Source organism: Homo sapiens, chromosome 10, assembly GCF_000001405.40.
Source record: "Homo sapiens chromosome 10, GRCh38.p14 Primary Assembly".
NCBI classification, from domain to species: Eukaryota; Metazoa; Chordata; class Mammalia; order Primates; family Hominidae; genus Homo; species Homo sapiens.
The window spans coordinates 105,484,110-105,504,393 of NC_000010.11; the positions used below are offsets into that span (position 1 = coordinate 105,484,110).

At 37.4% G+C, this 20,284-nt stretch overlaps 1 long non-coding RNA gene across 1 annotated transcript; it reads right to left on the reverse strand.

Moving 5' to 3' along the window:
- Positions 1-11,774: 11,774 nt before the first annotated feature.
- On the reverse strand, positions 11,775-12,810 carry LOC105378467 (uncharacterized). The gene is made up of 2 exons (XR_946289.1): positions 12,776-12,810; positions 11,775-11,846 (listed from the first exon to the last, which is right to left on the reverse strand). It is a non-coding gene; the product is annotated as an uncharacterized LOC105378467 (long non-coding RNA).
- Between the last annotated feature and the right edge of the window lie 7,474 nt (positions 12,811-20,284).

Below are 20,284 nucleotides of genomic sequence, written 5' to 3' on the forward strand. Positions count from 1 at the left end.
AACTAGGGTATACTTTGTCAATATAGTTTTTGAGCCAAAAAGCAGATTATTGATAAAGAAAGCTTGCCTTCATTTCTTTAGCAATTTTTTTCTTTTTTTAATTGTTGTGTTACAGGGTAGTTTGTCTTATAGCTCTGTGCTATACTCAGAAGCTCAGGCATTTGGTACTGGGATATGAAAGAGATTGAGGAGCAAATGAATTAACCTTTATTAACACTGGGAAATACCGTACTTGCAATAACCTTCAGAAATCACTGGGCTCATGGTTGTCTCCACTGAGGCTGCTCCCAATAACCTGGCAGCAAAAGGATTATGTAGAAAGGAAATCCATTTAAACATCTGCAAACCTTTCTGCTGATTGAATCTCCAAACATGCATCCACAAATCTGCATTATAGAACACTAGGTAAATCACAATAGAAAAGTATATCCTGATACAGAAAGATCATGATTTATTTACGAAAACGTACACTTTTAATTATCCATTAAGAACAAAATTCCAGAGATAAATTTAAATTTCTCTGAGAAGCAATGTCTCATTGTAGGTTAAACAAATTTGTAAACTAGGTAAATAGTAAATATTATAAATTTGGGGTACTGAGGAGAGGTTAGCTGCAAAAACAAACTATTTCATATATTTTCTTCTTAACAAATTCTTCCGAAGCATCAATTCATGAACACAATTTGTCCACACCTAGTGCTAATTCGTTGACTTTGGGTTTAATAGATTAAAATAATCTCTCTATAAAAAGATACGACAGGTTCTTTGGAATTATGAGCAATAATTTCTAAAATGTGACATGCATGTTAAGTTCAGATGGTGTGGGGGCCATCAGGTGATTTTGCTTCATAGACAGAAAAGTGACTATCTCAAGAAGGTAGCAGGGGAGGAAAGGGGTTGTGACTTCAGTTGCTTTGTTATTTTATCCAATTTGATGCCTGCTTCTTTTCTGACCTCGGGCCTTCCATTGTGACGTGTGCAATTGTAAAGGAAACGAGAGGACGAAATGAATCAAACTAGGCTTTTGTTCCCACTATCCCAATTCTCGCCAACTAAAAGTCACAAAGGAAACTTAGTCTTATTAAAGGGCAGTGGGTCAGACCACAGAATCTGCAAAGCTGCTCTTAAGGCTCAGTGTTCTTGCTGGGTCACATTACCATTGAAATCAAGTGTCAAATGACTGTGCAGCATATCTGTCACCAGAAAAAGGTAGAAAATTGGGTGCTGGGATGTAGAAAGCTGAAAGCATCCAAATAGAGTTAGTGTAGTTATCAAAAACAAGCCTCTGTGCCTTTCTTTATTAACCTCACCTCCCACTTTGTTTAATCTTTTCCTCCCATGAGTTTTACTAACTCAAACTGAGCTAGCACTTAAGATGTTTAAAACGTATATCATTTCTGAAAGCCCACGCTCAGGTGAGGCAGTAACTCGGCTCCAGAGCACATTTTCTTAACCTCGGCACTACTGATATTTTGGGTAGCACAACTATTTGTTGTCAGGTGCTGTTTTGTACATGCAGAATATTTAGCCGCACCCCAGCCTCTACCCATTAGAATGCTACTAGCATCCTCCAGTTGTGACAACCAAACATGTGTCCAGACATTGCCATAGTACCCCAGGTTGAGAACTTCTGCTTTAGGGATTGAATTGGTGGATTGAGTGGTGTCCTCTGCAAGACAGCTTATGCCAGCCACTGCTTCAGAGCTTCTCTCCAGTAATAGAAAAGGAAAGCTAACATAACCTGCTCTATATTGCAGGTGGAGAGAAACTCCATTTACTCATTTAGAAAGGTGAAATTGACATTATGAATGTACCCACTTGGAAAAAATGTAGTGTGACACTTAAGAGTCACTTTGAAAATTTCTCAGTCCTTAGTAGTAGAGTAGGTGGCATTGACCTGAAAAGTTGAGAGTCTGGCTTGGGCTGTTCCATTGATTCATTGGGTAGCTTGTGACAATCCCTTGGACCTCACTATATCACTGGCTATAAGATGTCTTATGCTATGTAGTGACTCAAGACAATATCCATAAAAGACTCTAAGTGCTGGGAATGGCAGTCCTATATCAAAATAAGATGTCACGGATGCATTTGTGGATAGCCACTTGTCCTAGCACTTCAATGTGTAAGTAGTAGAGTAAAATGAATTCCATGGAGAATGATATAGAGAAAGACCTATTCGGTTTTACTAAGAACAAAAAATTATTAGCAAATTAATAATTAGAAAATACTTATTGAACACTAACAATGAACCACTTTCCTGTACACTTTACATGTATTAACTCATTTTATCCTTATCTCACTATTAGTGGTATTTACTATTTTCAGGTAGTCCAATATCAATATCGGTGGTATTTACTATTTTCAGTTATTTACTACCGATTTCACATAGCAATCAAGTTGTAGACTTAGCATACAAACCAGTCAGTTTGGCTTTCAACCACTACAGTATAAATTTTAAATCAACAAACATGTATTATATCCATATTCAACATACCAGGTGGTCTGCTAAGTGTTGAATAATCAAAGATGAGTAAGTCATGATTTCTGCTACCAAGCTGATCACAATCTAGTGTGGAGGCAGTTCTATATATATATAATATATATATATTATATATATACATATATATATAATATGTATATAAATCATTCTATATAACTGAAACTAGCATGATGCTTTTAGCATAGCAGCAGTTGCAAGTTAAGTAGTAGAACAAAGAAGGGGTGATGTATTGAACGCTAAGGGAAGCAAGGGGCTTCATAGAGGAGGGAGAACCACAGCCAGGATTTGAAGGATAAATAAGAATTCACCAGAAAGACCCAATGCATTAACAGCCACTGGGGAGGAGGGAACAGCATGAGCCAAGGCCCATCCTGGTACTCAGCAGTTTGTCTGTCTTTGGGCTCTAGGTGCCCATTGTAAAACAGCCTATTCTTCAAGGCCCAACTCATCTGCTATCCTTTTCAGATCAAGTCTTTTGGAATATTCTTGTGCTTATTCTTGTTTCAGATCTTCATGTTAGCACTTATCACACTCTGCATTGTGTTAGTTGCATTCACATCATTCTCTGTGACTGGTAACTAAGCTCCTCGAGGGAAGTGAATCTGTTTACATTTATTGCTAGGCAGTAACTTATGCTAGATGATGCTGGATACATGTTAAATTAAATGGTGAGGTGAATAATAAAACATAGCCGGACATAAGGCAATGCAAATGTCATATCGAACAATTCATTAAATGTATCCCATATTTTTTTTTACATATATATACTCTCTAAGATAAGTCAAAGATGAAGTTTGGCATATATTTTGATGTCTGGCATCTATGAGTCACTGCAAGGTAACTTGGAGAAATGAAAGAATTAGCACTAAATCCAATCAGTTTCTAATCCTGGTAGGTCTGCTCTTGAGTTTATCTAGTGCAGTGAGTGGTTCTCAAACTTAAGCATGCATTAGTCAGTCTAAAAAATTTGTTAAAATGCAGATTCCTACAGATCCTAATGCAGAGTCCTGGAATAGGGTACAGGAATAGGCACCCTCCTCCTGAATGATTCTTTGAAATGAGTTTAAAAAAATGGTCTGGTAACAGCAGGCAGAAGTTTTGGACTTTGGAGGAGAAAGAAGGAGCACCCAAAAAAACATGAATGTAAGGGAATTACACTGGCCAGCTGAACAAAAATGTCTATATATGTGTGTGTGTGTGTGTGTGTGTGTGTGTGTGTGTATACACACATTATATATATATAAATACATATATATTACATAAATAAATATGTATATAAATAATACATTATATATATATATATTCCCTCATTATCTTGTTACAGATTACTAAAATTACTAACAAGAGCCATTTCTTAGGTACAGGTTTCACGCTATCTGTTTTATGAGAAACTCTGACATGGGTGAGGCCCAGGCATTCATTGGTAGTTTTAAAAAATCTTCTGAGATGATAATAAACAGTTTGAGCTAATAATCACTCTTTTAGGGCCTTAAAATTGACAAAATGAAAACATCTCAGAATGCTTAACACTTTAGCAAGCCAATTTTCGGTCATTGTTAACACCTGAGGGTAAATTATTTGCATTTTTCTTAAGAGGCAATCAGGTGAGGCAAATTCTCCATAAGAGTAAAATACACAAAAAGGAAAATCAGGTGGAAGAAATTGAGGTGGACAATCTGGCAATGCCTAAGGGAATACTGGCCAACCTGAGGTCATCTTGAGGACCAGAAAGGAAAGGTCCAGGATAGGGTTGTTTAAAAGGGAAAAAGAAAGCAAGGAAAGAGGTCAGAGATTTCAGAGGCAAGTAGTGATGCTAGGTCAATATCTGGCCTGAGACCCTCAGGTTTCTTCTCGGAGGAAAGCAAATTAATGAGGAATGTGTTGAGGGCTGATAGAAGCTAGGTAATAGGGAAATCTGGGAAAGAGTACCATCTGTGCCCTGAGCTCTCCCAGCTTTAAGCCATAAACTAGTTCTCTCCCTGAGGTTTCTTGTGTCTTCATGAATGGGGTAAAAGTGAGCAGGGCCACTGATCTGGTTGAAAGAGAAAAGCTGATATGGGAGAAGAGGCAGTGTTTAAGGAAGGTGTGAGCTATTTTCAAGTGAGGAAGGCGTGTTTGAAGAAAGCGGCACTACGGAGGTAATTAAAGCTGTGGCTGAAACCACAGAACTGGCTTGTTCTTAACTGCTATTTGTGGCTAATCACTTCCAAATAACAAATGAATAGCATGGTAAATGTTAGCAGGATAATTTTCTATTAATCAAGAGTAATGAGTGAGTAGACTAATTCCCTCTTCAAACATCCCTAATTTTAATGCTGTTGCATGTTGCTGCTTCAGATTGATTACACGGTGATTTAGAGGGAGTGAGGCAGTAGGGAGACTCAAAATAAAAGGCAGGATATTATTATTTCCTGCTACATTCATGTAGAACATCAACTTCTCCCACATGAATTCTTGTAGAAGGTGAAGATTGCCTTTTCAAAAATAATTTCAAGTCTGAGAGACAATGTCCAAATTTAAGAGAGAGAGAAGGTAGGAAAGAGGAAGAGGAAGAAGAAAGAGGAGAAAAACAGGACGAGGAGAAGGAAGGAAGGGGAAGGAAAGGAAAGAAAGAAGGACAGGGAAGGGAAGGGAAGGAAGGGAGGAAGGGAGGGGAGGGGAGTCCTGATTGCAAATGAAGCCATAAAACCTAAATGCATAAAATCTGCAATAAGTCTACATGTTTTGTCAACTTTATTCACTGTGAGGCTTTAAGCAATTTCCTTAAATGCAATGATATTTTATCTATACACTCATGGTAAAGAAGTACGCAGAGTTTAGATATTTCACATTACATTAGGCTGACCTCAACAGTCTGGGTCTTGGTCTTCCACAGCACCAGACTTTTCAAGAAATTAGATGTAGTCCCAGCCCTTCCAAAAGTATTTAATATAATTGGAAAATCAGCCACCTATGAAACAAGAGCAGTAAGTGAGAGTCTATGTAATTCTTCTGCAAAAGATTAGAAAGAAATTTCTTTATTCTTGTAGTAGTTCAAACAAAGAGGGACTATTGTGGCAACAAGGGTTTCATAGTTCATATGAAGTTGCTGGATGTAATTTGAAGACATGGTGCGATGTCTTTTTCACTCGTCCACAGCTACTCTCCACCCTTCTCCATTCACCTCTTTGCTGCAGGAGACTGATGTTTGGATTACATTAATGGGTCCTTTTGCCTTCCAGTCTCTTATGGCCTTTGGTCATTGAAGAGCCCCTGAAGGAGATAGGAGGAGGAGTGTGTAGTTGGTATTTATCTTCTGTCTCCTTGTAAGCTTGCACTTAGGAGCTTTCCAACCTCAGAACAATTTCTATTATGGTCCCTCTGCACTCTCTCCTGTTTGGTTTTAGTACCACTTCCCTTCTCCCCTTTTATTTAACCAAGAAATGACAGAGGTAGAGCAGAGTGTTACTATCTCCTATGATTTCCCTAAACACTGCCCACATGTTTGTAAACAGTCTCTTTATTAAATTCTTCTTGAATTATTCTAATTTGAGAGTGTCTTCTGTTTCCTGCGTTACTAGCTAACACACATAGACTTGGAGATAAGAAGGTGGGCATATCAGAGAGTCGGAGTAACCTTGAAGATGCATTTAATTTACAGCAAGTTTGCCTAATACAGGGTACTAGCTCATTGCTCTACAGGAAGTTAATGACTAAGTTGAAGGAAAATAAGATTTTAAAATAATCTAATACAAGATCATAAAGATGTTTCAAATGCAGAGTTTTGCTAGATTTGAACCAACTTCCTTTCTTTTATCAAAGCAATATGAAAAGCTAAGATATCCCTGTTCAGAACATTTGGTTTGAAAGGAGATGAAGGTAGCAAGAGGATTAGAAGAGACTCTGAAGACTGCCTTTAAAAGAACCATGTTTATTTTAAAATTTCTGTCCTCTTATAAATCATCATAATCGAGCTGCAGGTGTGAAGCATCAGCCTACTCCTCTGCAATCCTGGGGATTATGAGAATCAGGCAGAAGTTTCCATGGATGAAATTCATGCCATGGCTTTCCTTTCAGGAATGCATATTTTGGGATGAAAGTGAAGGAACTGTTATGAGGTTTTGATTATTGTTATTATTATTAGTAGTAGTATCATTTTTTTGAGACGGAGTCTCACTCTGTCGCCCAGGTTGGAGTGCAGTGGCACAATCTCGGCCCTCTGCAACCTCTGCCTGCTGGGTTCAAGCAATTCTCCTGCCTCAGCCTCCCTGGTAGCTGGGACCACAGGGGTGTGCCACCATGCCCAGCTAATTTTTTATATTTTTAGTAGAGACAGGGTTTCACCATGCTAGCCAGGCTGGAGTTGAACTCCTGACTTCGTGATAGGCCCGCCTCGGCCTCCCAAAGTGCTGGGATTACAGACATGAGCCACCGTGCCCAGCTTTGATTATTCATTTATTTGATCATTTTTCCATTCATGTATTTATGTATTCATTTGTGTATTTAAGGAAACAAATCTAAATGCAGTTGCATGTGGCAATGACATCTAGCCTCTCAAATGTCAGGAGGGTGATATATATGTGTGTAGGAATAGACAAGACCAGTGTTTTCTTCCAGCAGTTCTAACCAATTTGTTTAGCTTGATGGACAGATGCAGGGTGCAGGGCTCTTTATCATACTTAAGAGAAACATTGACAAGCTGAACCATAAAAAGGAGAGCCCGGTGGATAGCTAAACAGTAGGAAAACATGTAAGGTTAACTGCATTTAGGAAAACCAGCAAGACCAGGCGTGGCACCTCTATCATTCTTTATGTTTACCTGTGCAAGATATTATTTTGAATGAAGTAAATCCCTCAAAAGGAAAGTGTTGACTTTTTTCTCCTGTAAATATTTTCCCCAAGAGTTTTGTGATCTTTGACATACAGATCAAAATATATACCTTTCTTTGAGTCAGTTAGAGCCAGGTTAGAATCCAAGGTTTGAAATATCCTACCTCAAGCAACTTTATTTTCCTCTCTGAAATTAATTTTTCTTACCTGAAAAAAATGGGGTAATAAAACATTTCATTAAGTACTAAGGATTAAATGCAGTAACGTTTATAAAATGCTTGACAAGGCACCCAGTGATAGAGGACAGATGGAACTGTTGCTCTAGTTGCTGTTTAAAACACTATTCATATGCAGCTTCCAAGAATCTGACCACAAGCAATGGTAGCAAGAAGAGACATGAACACAGAAACACAGAAATGATAGCTATTGTAGAATTTCAACCTCCAACCTTTGTGAAGCTTTTCTTCAGTATTCTGTTTCTGCAGGTTCTGGGCACCTATATTGGTGATGAGGAACTTATTACCCATTCATTCAGTCACTGATTAAATTTTTTAGCAGCTTTAGGCATGAAGATTTAACTGAGGTTACAGAGATATAATGGTAGAATGGAAAGTGTAAGTTTTAGAGTCAGTCATAAACTGAGATAAACACTACTATGCCATTCACTAGCTGAGTGACCATAATAAGAAAGAAATATCTCTTGTCTACTTTTTTTAAGGGTAAAATCGCAACCTTTAGTTCACAAATGGATGAGATGAAATATGAACATTTTTAAGTACACCTGTTCAAATATAATGGGTACTTATTTTTAGTTTGCTTCCTTCTTTCTTTCCTTCTGTTGAGGCAAAAATCTGCCTGTTTGTATCTCAACCATTTATCCTCCATTCAGCTCTGGATCAATGTGGATTAAATTGAGTTTCACTTTCATGATCAGTTATTCTCTGTTCTTTTATTTGTCTCTCTTTAAAAGTAAATAAACTCTAGGTTCTATTCCATTCCTGCAGGAACATGATTGCTAGGATGCTAAGGGAAAGAGATGCAGTATTTGTGTATGATTAAGGAGTATAAATTGACTTTATATATTATGCAAATATCAAGGCTTGGGAGACAAAGAACCTTCTAAAACATACACTTTTGGTAATGCGTCTCTATGACCTGCATTCCCAGACCAGCAGACATCCCATAAGATGGAAGAGAGTAAGTTTCTTATTCTTACAATAAATCTTTGTTATGTAACTAAAACTCCCTGAAAAACAAGCAATAAGAGAAAACACTACCTGTATTATTACTACCTGCCTCACAAACAGCACAGGCTAATGTTAGTGACACATTTTGTCTGTTTTCATCCTTCATTTGTATACTTGGCCTTGCAAATAGAGTACTTTGAATAAACATTATAGCCATATTTATGAGTTTTCTTGCTAAGTGCTTCTCTTGGAGATGCATTATCAGGCATTCAACATAAACCACAGAGATAGAGTCATTTATCCTTGTTAGGCCAGCAAACAGAGGGAAATTGTTCTTCCCCACCATCCTGGACCCACAAGAGCCTTTATCTAAAACTAAGGCAATTCAGAAAGACCAGTTCCCAGCTGATGAAGTAGGAAGTTATGAAAATTTTTCAAAAATAATTAAAAACCTAGATACTGGCTATTGCAAGGTTGAGAAGAAATGAGCTGCCAAAGAGTTCATAATCACTGGGTGTCTAGGATGGGCCACAGTCTGCCATAGGTAATTCCCATGCATTGTATTCTGTGATGTACAGATCTATCACGTCAGGTCCTATTGTGGGGTGAGTGTTATTATCCCCATTTTGTAGATGAGGGAGCAGAGATCCAAAGATTAAGGAATTTGTCTAAGAACAGTGGATTTGTGGCAGAGTTGGGACTTAACCTCAGATTAGCATAACACAAAGCCCATCTCACTATACCAACTTCTTTCAGTGTTTGGCTGGCAGAAGGAGCAATGTTGCATGGGAGTGAAGACACTCTCTGTGTCTGTATGAAGATATAATTGGAGGATCATTTAAAGTCAGAGAAGGCCTCATCTGGGTGTTTTGAGAACTCTTTATGGAAAAAAAAAGTTAAACCAAAGGTAGAAAATCCTCTGCTAACTCACTGAGAGTTTATAGGAAGAAGTGAAAAGTGCCTAGATGTGCCGCTACAACCATGAGTCAGGGGAAAAACAACCTGTTAGGGGAGAGTAGATGGAAAGGGAGGATGGTGACTGGGAGTGACAAAAGAAAATATTGAAGAAAATAAGAGGAAAAAAACCTATTTTCCCCCTAGTCCTTCTGTGTGTCATATATTGCTTATTCTTGTCCTAGAAGTATGTAAACAATGTTTTATCTTTGTGAAACAAAAGGTGTTTGAAATGCCTCTGAACATTTAAAGTACTTTAAAGATCACCTACAGCATTGTCCACATCTATTAAGAAAGGAGGATGGAGGGAAAGAAGAAGGAAGGGAAGGAGGGAAGAAGGAGGGAAAAAGAACAGAAGGAAAAAAAGGAGGGAAGGATCTAATAACATCCCCAAAGATTGTCTGTTATCAGGATAATGGCTGAAATATCTTGTAAAAGCGAACATAAACCCAAGCCTAGACCCACAGTCCTTCTGCAATGACTAAATCAGGCTTTGATGAACACCTATGGGAAGTAGCATTTTAGATCTGTTTTATCTCTCTTGTGACATTAGGGCCATTTGTTTCCAGTTGCCTATTGTTCATGTCTACAGTCAGGACCTAATCATGTCTGAATAGAAGAGAAAAATCCAAAATTCTCTCTGATCATAATACATTGTCAGTAAAGCTGAATATAACTCCAATATTCAAAGAAAAGCAGCCAATAAATCTGTGCAAACTCTTGGTTAAAAAAAATCTTATGGTTGTTATTTTTCCCCTTAAACAAGTACAGTTTGATTTCTATAATGACACTAATTCTAATGTATTTCGTTTCTTAATTCCCTCTATGATTAGTCATCCTTGGAAATAACAACTAGGCAAGTAGCTTGGGATTACATTTCTCATTAGGACATTAATGCATATTGTGAACTGTGATAGCCTAATGCTTCCATCTCCAGGTAACACACTTAGCTCACACAGCTCTCTTTATGGTCTGGCAAGTCTGTTCACTGGTGTTTGTGTTGCTACTAACTCTCTGATCTGCAGCACTATTTCAGTTGTACTTGGCATTTGGATAGCTGCCTTGAGACCTAGACTGCCTCATTAGTAATTTTTTTATTCAAACATATTCTATAGCAACTACCATTTAACATTACGGTGAATTTTTTCATTTTTTAATGCTCATAATCCATTATACTCGCTATAAATTGGCAGGGATAAGGGTCAACTAATATTTTTCCGACGTTGGTAATTTCCCCTTATTCTTAACTCACTTAAATCACTGTGATTCATCACATGGTTCAGAAAAACAAAATGAATACAAACTTTAGATGTGTGTGTGTGTGTGTGTGTTTGTGTGTGTGTGTGTGTGTGTGTGTGTTGACAGACCAAATGTGTATTTCTGTCATGGCTTTGTAAAGATCCCTTTATGTGTTTACACCGTGACATAATATCCAAGTTTCTCCATTCTGGGGTTAAAACTAAACTCTTTTGACTTGATTAACCCATTATATACTGCCTAATTTATTGTATAACTTTAGGCAATTTTAAGATACTTCTCTGAAAGGCTATTGTTATTACTGTGCTGGATTATTGAGAAGTATATGAGTCAGCAGAATTAATGCTAGCTGCTTCAGTAACAAACGCTAAAATTTCATGGCTTGACCGAATAAAACTTTATTATTTCTTGCTTTCATAAAGGCCAATATAAATGTCCTATATTGGACAGTTCTTCTTGGCAGCTACCCTTTAAAGCAGTGACTCTGCGACCTGGGCTCCTTTTGTCTATTCTATAAGTTGTGAGCTCCCGTAAGTCCTTGGAGTTCTTCAAGGATTCTCTTCATCTGTCGAGCCAGTGATTCCGTATGAGAGATTTTGTGAGAGGTGTTTAGAGCTCATAATTGGAAAAACCATATGTCATTTCCCCTGATATTTCTTAGCCCACACCTGATTCACATTGTCTCACCATCTATAAGGCAGCTTCCAAAGGTAGTTTGGCTATATGCCCAAAAAGAAATGAAAAAGTGTAGAGGGCAAAGAGTAGCGTCTCCATTATGCTCTACCAATACACAGCATGTATTTAGCAGCACCCAAGGAAGACATCCCAAAGTTCCATCCAGGCACTGCATCCAGCAGGACTGCTGGGTAATGAGACACTTTCTCCACCTCACTAGAAGTGGCTCTTCTTGGTCTTCTACCTATGACTTAAAGAGACAAGCTACTTCCTTCCCCACCGCCCCATCCCCCACCGGCCACAAAAGCTCATATGTAATGGCAGATCAGGGTCAGGATAACCACAGTGATACTACCACTTAGAAAACTGAAGAAAGAAGCACAGATAATTCACTCACTTGCTTTGACATCTTGTGTTTTCACATGGTCTTCCTTCTGTACCAGTCTGTGTCCAAATTTCCTCTTCTGTATGGACATCAGTCACATTGTATTGAGACCCGCTCTAATGACAGCTTAACTTGATTACCTCTATAATACCTTATCTCCAAATAAGGTACATTCTAAGGTACTGGGGGCCAGGACTTCAAGGCATGAATTTGGGGGGCACACAATCCAACCCATGACACTGTCTTTTGATTACAATTACTTTCATATGCCAATACCCACATTTGTATTTCCTTCTGAAACTTAAGTTTTCAAGCATCCCTTATTTGTTGTTTCCTCAACCCTATGTCTTTCTCTCTCTCAAGACAATGGTGGCTGACATTGAATGGGAAGCCACACTCTTTATTAGGTAACTGTTTTTGGACATTTTATTCATCTGAGTTTTATTTGGCCATTGACACTCAAAACCTTTCAAAATTCCATCTTATTGTTTGTGTCTAGAAGCAGATGGCTTTCCTAGCAATAAAGTCCTTGCTTTCTATCTCTTTGTTTCCTTTCATTTCTGTTTGCAAACCAGCCAGGGTTTTCCTGAGTTCATCTCTTTCTTGTAATATTGCAATACCTTGTCAAAGCAGCCAGTAGTATCCAATACACGCTAACTGTTGATTCTTCTAATTATTTCCACTAGAGCTGCTGGCTCAGCAAGCACGTGGCTTGCCTTCAACACAATCACAAGTGATAGTTATACAAAATGTTTACCGCTGAATAATATGAGTTCTATCTTATCAGACTTCAATATCAATTTCCTTGCTGCTTATCATCCAACCTATAAGGCAACTACCACATATTTAATTTTTGCATTTTAGCAGCACTCTTTTTCTAGTTAAGCAGTTGCTATATTAGTCGAGTTTAATAATACTCACTGCTACAAAATAGCAATGACATCTAAGTTCTTAGCATTACTGAACTTTACTGCTCATGAAAGTTCATCAGTTAATATCAATCATCACCATCAGCTTTCCTGAGTAGCTCTCCTCCATAGAATCCAGGCTCCAGTCATCCAGTAGTTACCACGGGTCTCAGAATCCTTTCCTGGATTCTCTCTGCATCCAGCCAGCCAATGAGAAGGGTGGGAGGCAGGGGCATGTGGAAGTTACCAAGGACAAGCTCTGAAAATGGCATATGTTACTCCCACCCACATTTCATTGACCATACTTAGTTCCATGGTCCTGCCTAACTTGAAGAGGCTGGAAAATATTTTTCTCTTTAAAGGAATGATTTGGTGAGTTCATAATTCTAAGACAAAGGAGAATCAAATAAAATAACATGTGTAGAACCCTTGACACACACAGGAGGCATTCAATAAATATTGGTTACCAGTAGAGAAGATATTTTATGCACTGACTGGTCTCAATAAAGGCCTGAATACTCTCTATTACATATCAGCATGGTTTAACCAAATATATCATTAGAAATAGGGTGACATTTTCACTTATTGAAATTCTGACAGCTCACAAATCCTAAAATACAGGATCCACTGTGAAAAGCAAAGAAGTGAATTGCATTCACTTTTGCATGCATACAGATTTGCATGCAGTCACACACATATACATGTACTCTAAGAGACCAGCTAATAAATTACTACAATTTTCTTTCAGTGTGTTTTAAGAAACCTTTCTCAATATATCTTTGGTTAACTGTGTAATTCTGCTTTCCATTTAGACTAGAGAAAGGGTAGATGTAATGTCTATGAAATAGCTTTCTATTGTCATCAGAATAAGGAACACTTAACTATACAGAGATGAAAACATTTCCTTTTTCTCCCTGTTCTGGAATATCAGTGAGAAGTATAGGCTGTCACTGAAAATTTCTCCCTCTGCCTGGATCTACATAGGCTGTGTCCATGTAAGATTCTGTGGGCTTCTTGTGTACTGAGTGTGTGTATGAGAAAGAAAAGTTTATCTCTAGAACAAATACTATCTGATCTTTACAGAATTAGGTAGAGGAAAGAATGCCAACCAAATGCAATAATAATGTTAATGAAGCTAATAGCTGGGGAGAAATTTCTGGGAATGTCAATCATGAGGAAAAATGTCAGAAAAAGACATTAATGTCCCCTTATAGAAGAAGGCTCAGATGGAATTGACATTTGGAACAGCTAGTAAAGGGCAGACTTTTCCACAATATTGTCCCATTTAAATCAAATACACTGTCGACAGACAAGGTCCCCCAAAACAGTCAATTGAGTTTCTACTGATTTTGGGCCTAAAAATTTTAGGTAAAGTAAATCTCAAGCATGCAGAAATTTGGTGTGAATCTCAGAAAAGAAAAAAAAATCCTGAAGCCAGTTGTTTGTCCCATTATCTTCCTCCTCATGTGATTACAAGAACATATTTCTTCTCCTTTTTTAGAAGCAACGCTTTTGATTCCAGTCTTTTTGTTTTCATCTGGTTCACTTTATCTCCTTCGAGTCAAGGTATTCACAAGTCTAAGGACTATTTTCATAATTTTAGTACAGTTAAGACTACATTTGCCATAAAGGTAGTATCTTGAGAGATACAAAAAGGACTTCAAATATTCAGAAACTTAGTTGCACACTAAAAATGTTCAACTTAGTTTTTTTGTTCACTTAAGTGAACAAACATCTTGAATATCATTTGAGAGCAGTAAAATTCAGGACATCAGAGAAGGAGTACAACTAAAAGAAGAGAAAGGGTCATGGCCTCATAAGTCAAAATACTAATTCATAAGGGATCAAAAGAACTAAATTACAGAAAAGAGAAGGAAATACATGGGAATACTTTTAAAGACATGAGGTATGGATTACAGTTAAGCCAAACTTAAGCTAAAGGTATCAAAGATGAGATTGATGGGAACAGATGGATCTTAGAGGCATCACATTAAGGAATTAAAAAAAATTTACAGGCCAGGTGCGGTGGCTCACGCCTGTAATCCCAGCACTTTGGGAGGCCGAGGCAGGCGGATCGCGAGGTCAGAAGATCGAGACCATCCTGGCTAACATAGTGAAACCCCATCTCTACTAAAAATACAAAAAATTAGCCGGGCGTGGTGGCGGGTGCCTATAGTCCCAGCTACTCGGGAGGCTGAGGCAGGAGAATGGTGTGAAACCCGGGAGGCGGAGCTTGCAGTGAGCCGAGATTGTGCCACTGCACTCTAGCCTGGGCGACAGAGCGAGACTCCGTCTCAAAAAAAAAAAAAAAAAAAAAAAAAAATTTACAACTTCCACTGAGGCCATGGGAAGGAGAGTGGTACATAGAAAATTGCCGCTAGGACAGATGAACTTACTATGCAGTTTTGTCTTTATTTTGGATTCTCAACCATGGCACTACTGGCATTTTGGGCCAGATAATTTGTTTTAGGGGCCTCACCTGTGCATTGTGGGTTGTTTAACAGCACTCCTGGCTTCTACCTATTATATGCCAGTAGCACCTCCCCAGTTGCAACAACCAAAAATGTCTCCAGATGTTGCCGAATGCACTCTGGGGAGGCAAAATTTCCCCTGGTTGAGAAACACTTGTTTAGAGGAATTTTATTCAGAAAGTGGGAATGGCTGGACAATTCCTTTTCCTTTCCTCAAAGCTGTTCAATATTTGAATCTTCCATGAACTCTCTTTTGGGCAAACAAGTTTTCTTTATTTGATTTGCTATGGCCACTCGGAATTTATTTATGATTTTCATCTCCATCTTCTAATGCCTTTTTCACGTTTAGTTTTGTTTTCAAAATTACCCCACATTCTCTGTACCAGTCATCATTTTAGATGATAGCCTCCTCCTGGCCATAACTCTTCTGTATCATTTGTTTGTTACACCTTACGGGCCTTTTAGTCTTTCTCTACACAGTAATAGCCAAATCAATACTATGTATACCTGAACATTCCAAGTGTGTCTAGTCCAATATAGAAACTCTTAGATATCTTGGTAGAAACACTGATCAAGTCCTAGTCACAGATGCTTTTCTTCCTATTTATCTGTATATTTCTATTTGGATTCAAAGAGCATCATACAGTCTGTTCTGTTACAATGTGTTTCCTTAAAGTAAAACATTTCATACTGGTTGGCAAATAGGGATGTAATGTCAAACAATGTACAAGTCATGTTGGTCCATTTTTTCCCCAGCACTTTAATAGTTGGCCCCATTAAGTAACAGTAATTGAATTCAAAGTACATGAGCATAGTGGAATACAGCAGTCAGCTGAGGATTGTAATACTGTACACTATGACTTTTCACTCTATGTACTTCATCTTGCCTCAGTTTGGCTTCATGCTCTGTCTTAAAGTTTTAATTATATGTTTTGCCTCATCTCTGTGCACTTTGTCCTTGAACTCATAAGTTTCAACCTTTCCTTACACAGGCTTCTATCAATAAATATTCATCCCCTAGCCCCTTTATTTTTATAGGTAAAATCTTCTATGTACTGTAGTATTCCTTCATTTATTTGTAATTTAACATTTAACATTCCTTTTAAACCATGCTAGTATTTTCATCATCATTATTGTTTATTCATATACTTCTCTGATTACAAAGTTACACAGGTTATGAGTGAGCTGCTTGATCCCAAATTTTTCCTTAAGGCTTGTGATAGTGCTTCATTATATAGAAATAGAGGAAATATTTTCAGGAATGTACGTATTGGTTTTTAACAGAAACACCTGAACTTGAAAAATGATTTCATCCAACTTTCATTTTTCACCCATTTTGTAAATACAAAAACTGAGACCCATGGGTGATGATCGTGGTACAAGTTGTTTCTTGCTTGATTCTGGCCATGACACAGCAGCATTTTGTATGCTGCTACAGTATATTTCCCAAGTTTAGATTTGCTGCTATAACTATCCTTCTTTCTTTTTTCTTTTATTTTGGCTTATTACCTTGTAAAAGAGTTCTGATACATTAGTAGCTTTTATTGAAAGCCACCTCCAATCTGTTTTGGAAAATAGGCAATATATAAATAGTAAATAAATAATGAACTGAGATGCAGAGAAGTTTTACAGCTTGTTGGAAAGAGAGCTGGGACTGGAGCCTAACTTCCAATTCCCAGCCCAATATACTCTTTATAATATCCTGTCTCTCCCATGCATCCGTGAGTTTCCCATTTTATATCATCATGGCCTTGAAGACTCAATAAGGAATCACCAAGGTGATGCCAGACTTACTTCCAAATGTTTCTTTAATTTACATGTCTAGGTATGCCAAAGGTTAAGATCAGAGATATTCTGTTACTATCTAATGTGAATACAGTATTATTAGCTAACCAATCGTATAGTCAAATTAGTTTTTTGTTTGTTTGTTTGTTTGTTTAGAGTATTGGGTATACACAGCCCACAATCTCTTCAACTCTGATAAGGGAAATATCTTATCATTTACTCTTTGAAAGTTCACATAAAAATATAAAAATGAAAAGTTTCATGTGGGTTTTATTACCACCAAAATCTAATTGGCCCAAGAAAAGGAAGCATATACAAACATTTTATAGATTGGTCAACAGTTTCTCCCCACCAACTTCTTCTCATATGTTCATTTTTATTTTTTTGTATTCCTTTGGAAAATATTTGACACACACACACACAAATGAAGGATTCAGAAACAGCATTTTTTTTAAAATTGAGAGCACCAGTGAAAGATTAAAGTGTGATATCAGAGTTTAAGAAAATAAATTTAATAAGGGGAAAATATTACAGTTTGTCCTGAGCCAAGTTAAACATAAAAAACTATAGAAGGAAAATGACAAAAAAAAATGGTTTGACTTATAACAAGTTTTACAAATGTGATTCTCAGGCAGAGCACGGCCTACAGGTAGGCTTTGTTTGCTGGGCATACAGTTGGCCCACAAGGAGATTGTATAAATCTAAACATCTTGCTGACATTACAAAACTGGAAGATTTTACACAATCATCTAGATTTCTGACTGCTCCTAAAAATTGGGAAAACTGCACAAAAGGCCTCTGTTTGAGCATGGTAAGCATTGGCTAGAACTGAGTTGCAGGGGACACCTTCTTGAAAGAGCATGTGTTCCAGCTTTGTTCCCATCTCCATCACTGATTTTTGCTCCTGGACACTGAGCCTGGTCATGATTGCTATGGTAATAATGTCACCTGTCTCATTCCCGTTGTATTTGCATATCTTAACCTAGTAATGGAGCCTTCTAAGCTTTATTAGAGATAAACTTTCTTAGTGTCTCACTTTTTCCACCTACTTAATGTGTCAAATGTTAACCTATAATTATACCTGGAAGTCCAGCTTTCAGAGATGAAACCCAAAGAGTCAAGATTTACTCTGGTTCACAAAGGCTTTTAAAACTCTTACCTTCTATTTCCACACACCTTGTTGCTTTCCTTTGATAAATCTTTTGCTGGCCCGGAACTGAAACTCACAGCACAGCACAGCACAGCACAAGCAGGGCTATAAATTTTTACTCAAGTGATGGGCTTCCTTTGAACCTGTCCTGACGTCGTCATTACCAGCTCCAATTCCACATTCTGGCTTTCATTTCTTGGTACAGTGGTAAAATTTGAGGCTTGTCTCACAAAGTTACCACTAAAAAGAAAGGAAAAAAAGGTATGGATGATAATTTTAATAAGGCATGGAAGATAAATTGCTTTTGAAAAAAGAATTTTAGAAAGCTTCTTAATAATTTATGGTTAACTTCCAAATTGACTTTCAGTGTTAATTATAAGACTGTACTTGCAGTTTTGCAGTTTTGGTTACTCAAGGCACTTTCTCTGATTACCTTTGATTCTCAAAACTCTTCACATTGCTGCCATTACCATCTTTATTTCAGGTCACAAAGGTAATTTATTACTTCATTTTCTTTTATTAAAAAATCATCTTGCTGGGTTCCACCCTGACTCCCCTTGGAACCTACAAATTATTTCATGAGCTGTTGGTGAATTCATTGATTTATTGCTGTTTTGGCCATTGGTCCCTAACATTTTCTTAGAAATTGTGCTTGTTTCTTAACTCTTTAGTATAGAAATTTTCAAAAGCACACAAAAGTAGAGGGAATAATATAGTAAATCCCTGTGTGCCTATCATCTAGCTTCAACAGTTAGCAACATATAACCAATCTGATTTTGACCCTCTTAGATGACATATTGTGTAATTGTATTTATCATACAGATATGTAATTTTATTTGTATTTCTGAGACCATGACTCCTATTAATGACACATTATCATAACTAAAAAAATAACTTATTAATCTAATTAACACTATTTGTTAATGTTGACAACATTATTATTACTAACTTTACTGGAATGGATTTCAACTATTATCCAAACTTTGTTCAAATTTCACCAATTATCCTGTGAATGACTTTTTATACTAATTTTCATTGTTTATTTTGCTCTGTCTTGGCCCCTCCCCGCTTTCCTTTTCTTTCTTTTTTATTTTTGCAAATTATATGTGGAAGAACCTGAGTTCTACAGATTTTTTTTTTCAGAAAATCCTTCAGAATTTCCTACATCCTAGACTTGGCTGATTACATTCCAGTGGCGGTCTTAATGAGTTTGTCTATCCTCTGCGTTTTCTATAAATTATTAATTTAATCAAGTGGCTTGGTCAGACAAAAAGACTTCGATTTTTTCATTGAGACTATTTCGTAGGTTGTGTGGATACTACCTATTTCATCATATTGGTAGAAACAATGTCTGGGTGTTTCTCCTTTTTATAATGTTAAGGGTGAGCATCACCTTCAGATGTTATCAATCTAATCTCTCCATTACAAAGTTTGCCTTTGACTTTTACCTAAAAAGCTTTTGGCATGTTTCTTCCAGAGGCTGTGGAAAACAGGATTATAACAGAGAAATAAAACCCCCCAAACAGACAGAATACTGAACCTTCTGTTCAGCTCTGGAATTACTTTGGTATTAGGGACTCATCATCCTCTGTTGAAATTTTCTCTCTTGTTATCTTCCTGTAGTATCTAGTTTTGCACCTCATTTCTTCCAAAGCTCCTCTGCACAATCAGCTGTGTTGGGGACAGGCTGCTAGGTCAGAACCTGACTCTGTTTCTGCCCCTGAAGCCACTCAGCATAAGAAAGAACTTGCTATTTTCTAGGCTGCCTTACCAAGTCCTGAGAAGGTCAGCAGCATCTCCTGACCTTGCAGTCCAGAAAGTGGGATAAAAAACAGTAATCCTGTGAAATAGTTGTGTAGATATTTTCATCCCCTTTTGGCAAATAAAAAATGTATATAATGCAAAGAAAGTCAAAGGGGCTTTGAAAAAGACATACAGCAAGATAGGGAAGGAGTTGAAATGTATTCTGCCTGGGGTAACCCTTCAAAGGGAGGCAATTCTAAATTTAATGGATAGAGAAGATTCATTCACTCTTGGGGAAATGGGCAATATCCAGCTGAGTTAATAACTTGAAGATTTTTTAGAAATCATTATTATCATCATTATTGTTTTTGTTGATATTTAGGATTGTAGCATTTTTTTCTCTTTAATTCCTGCATCCCCTTCATCTTCCCAAGAGGAAGAGATTTGTAATAGATTTCCT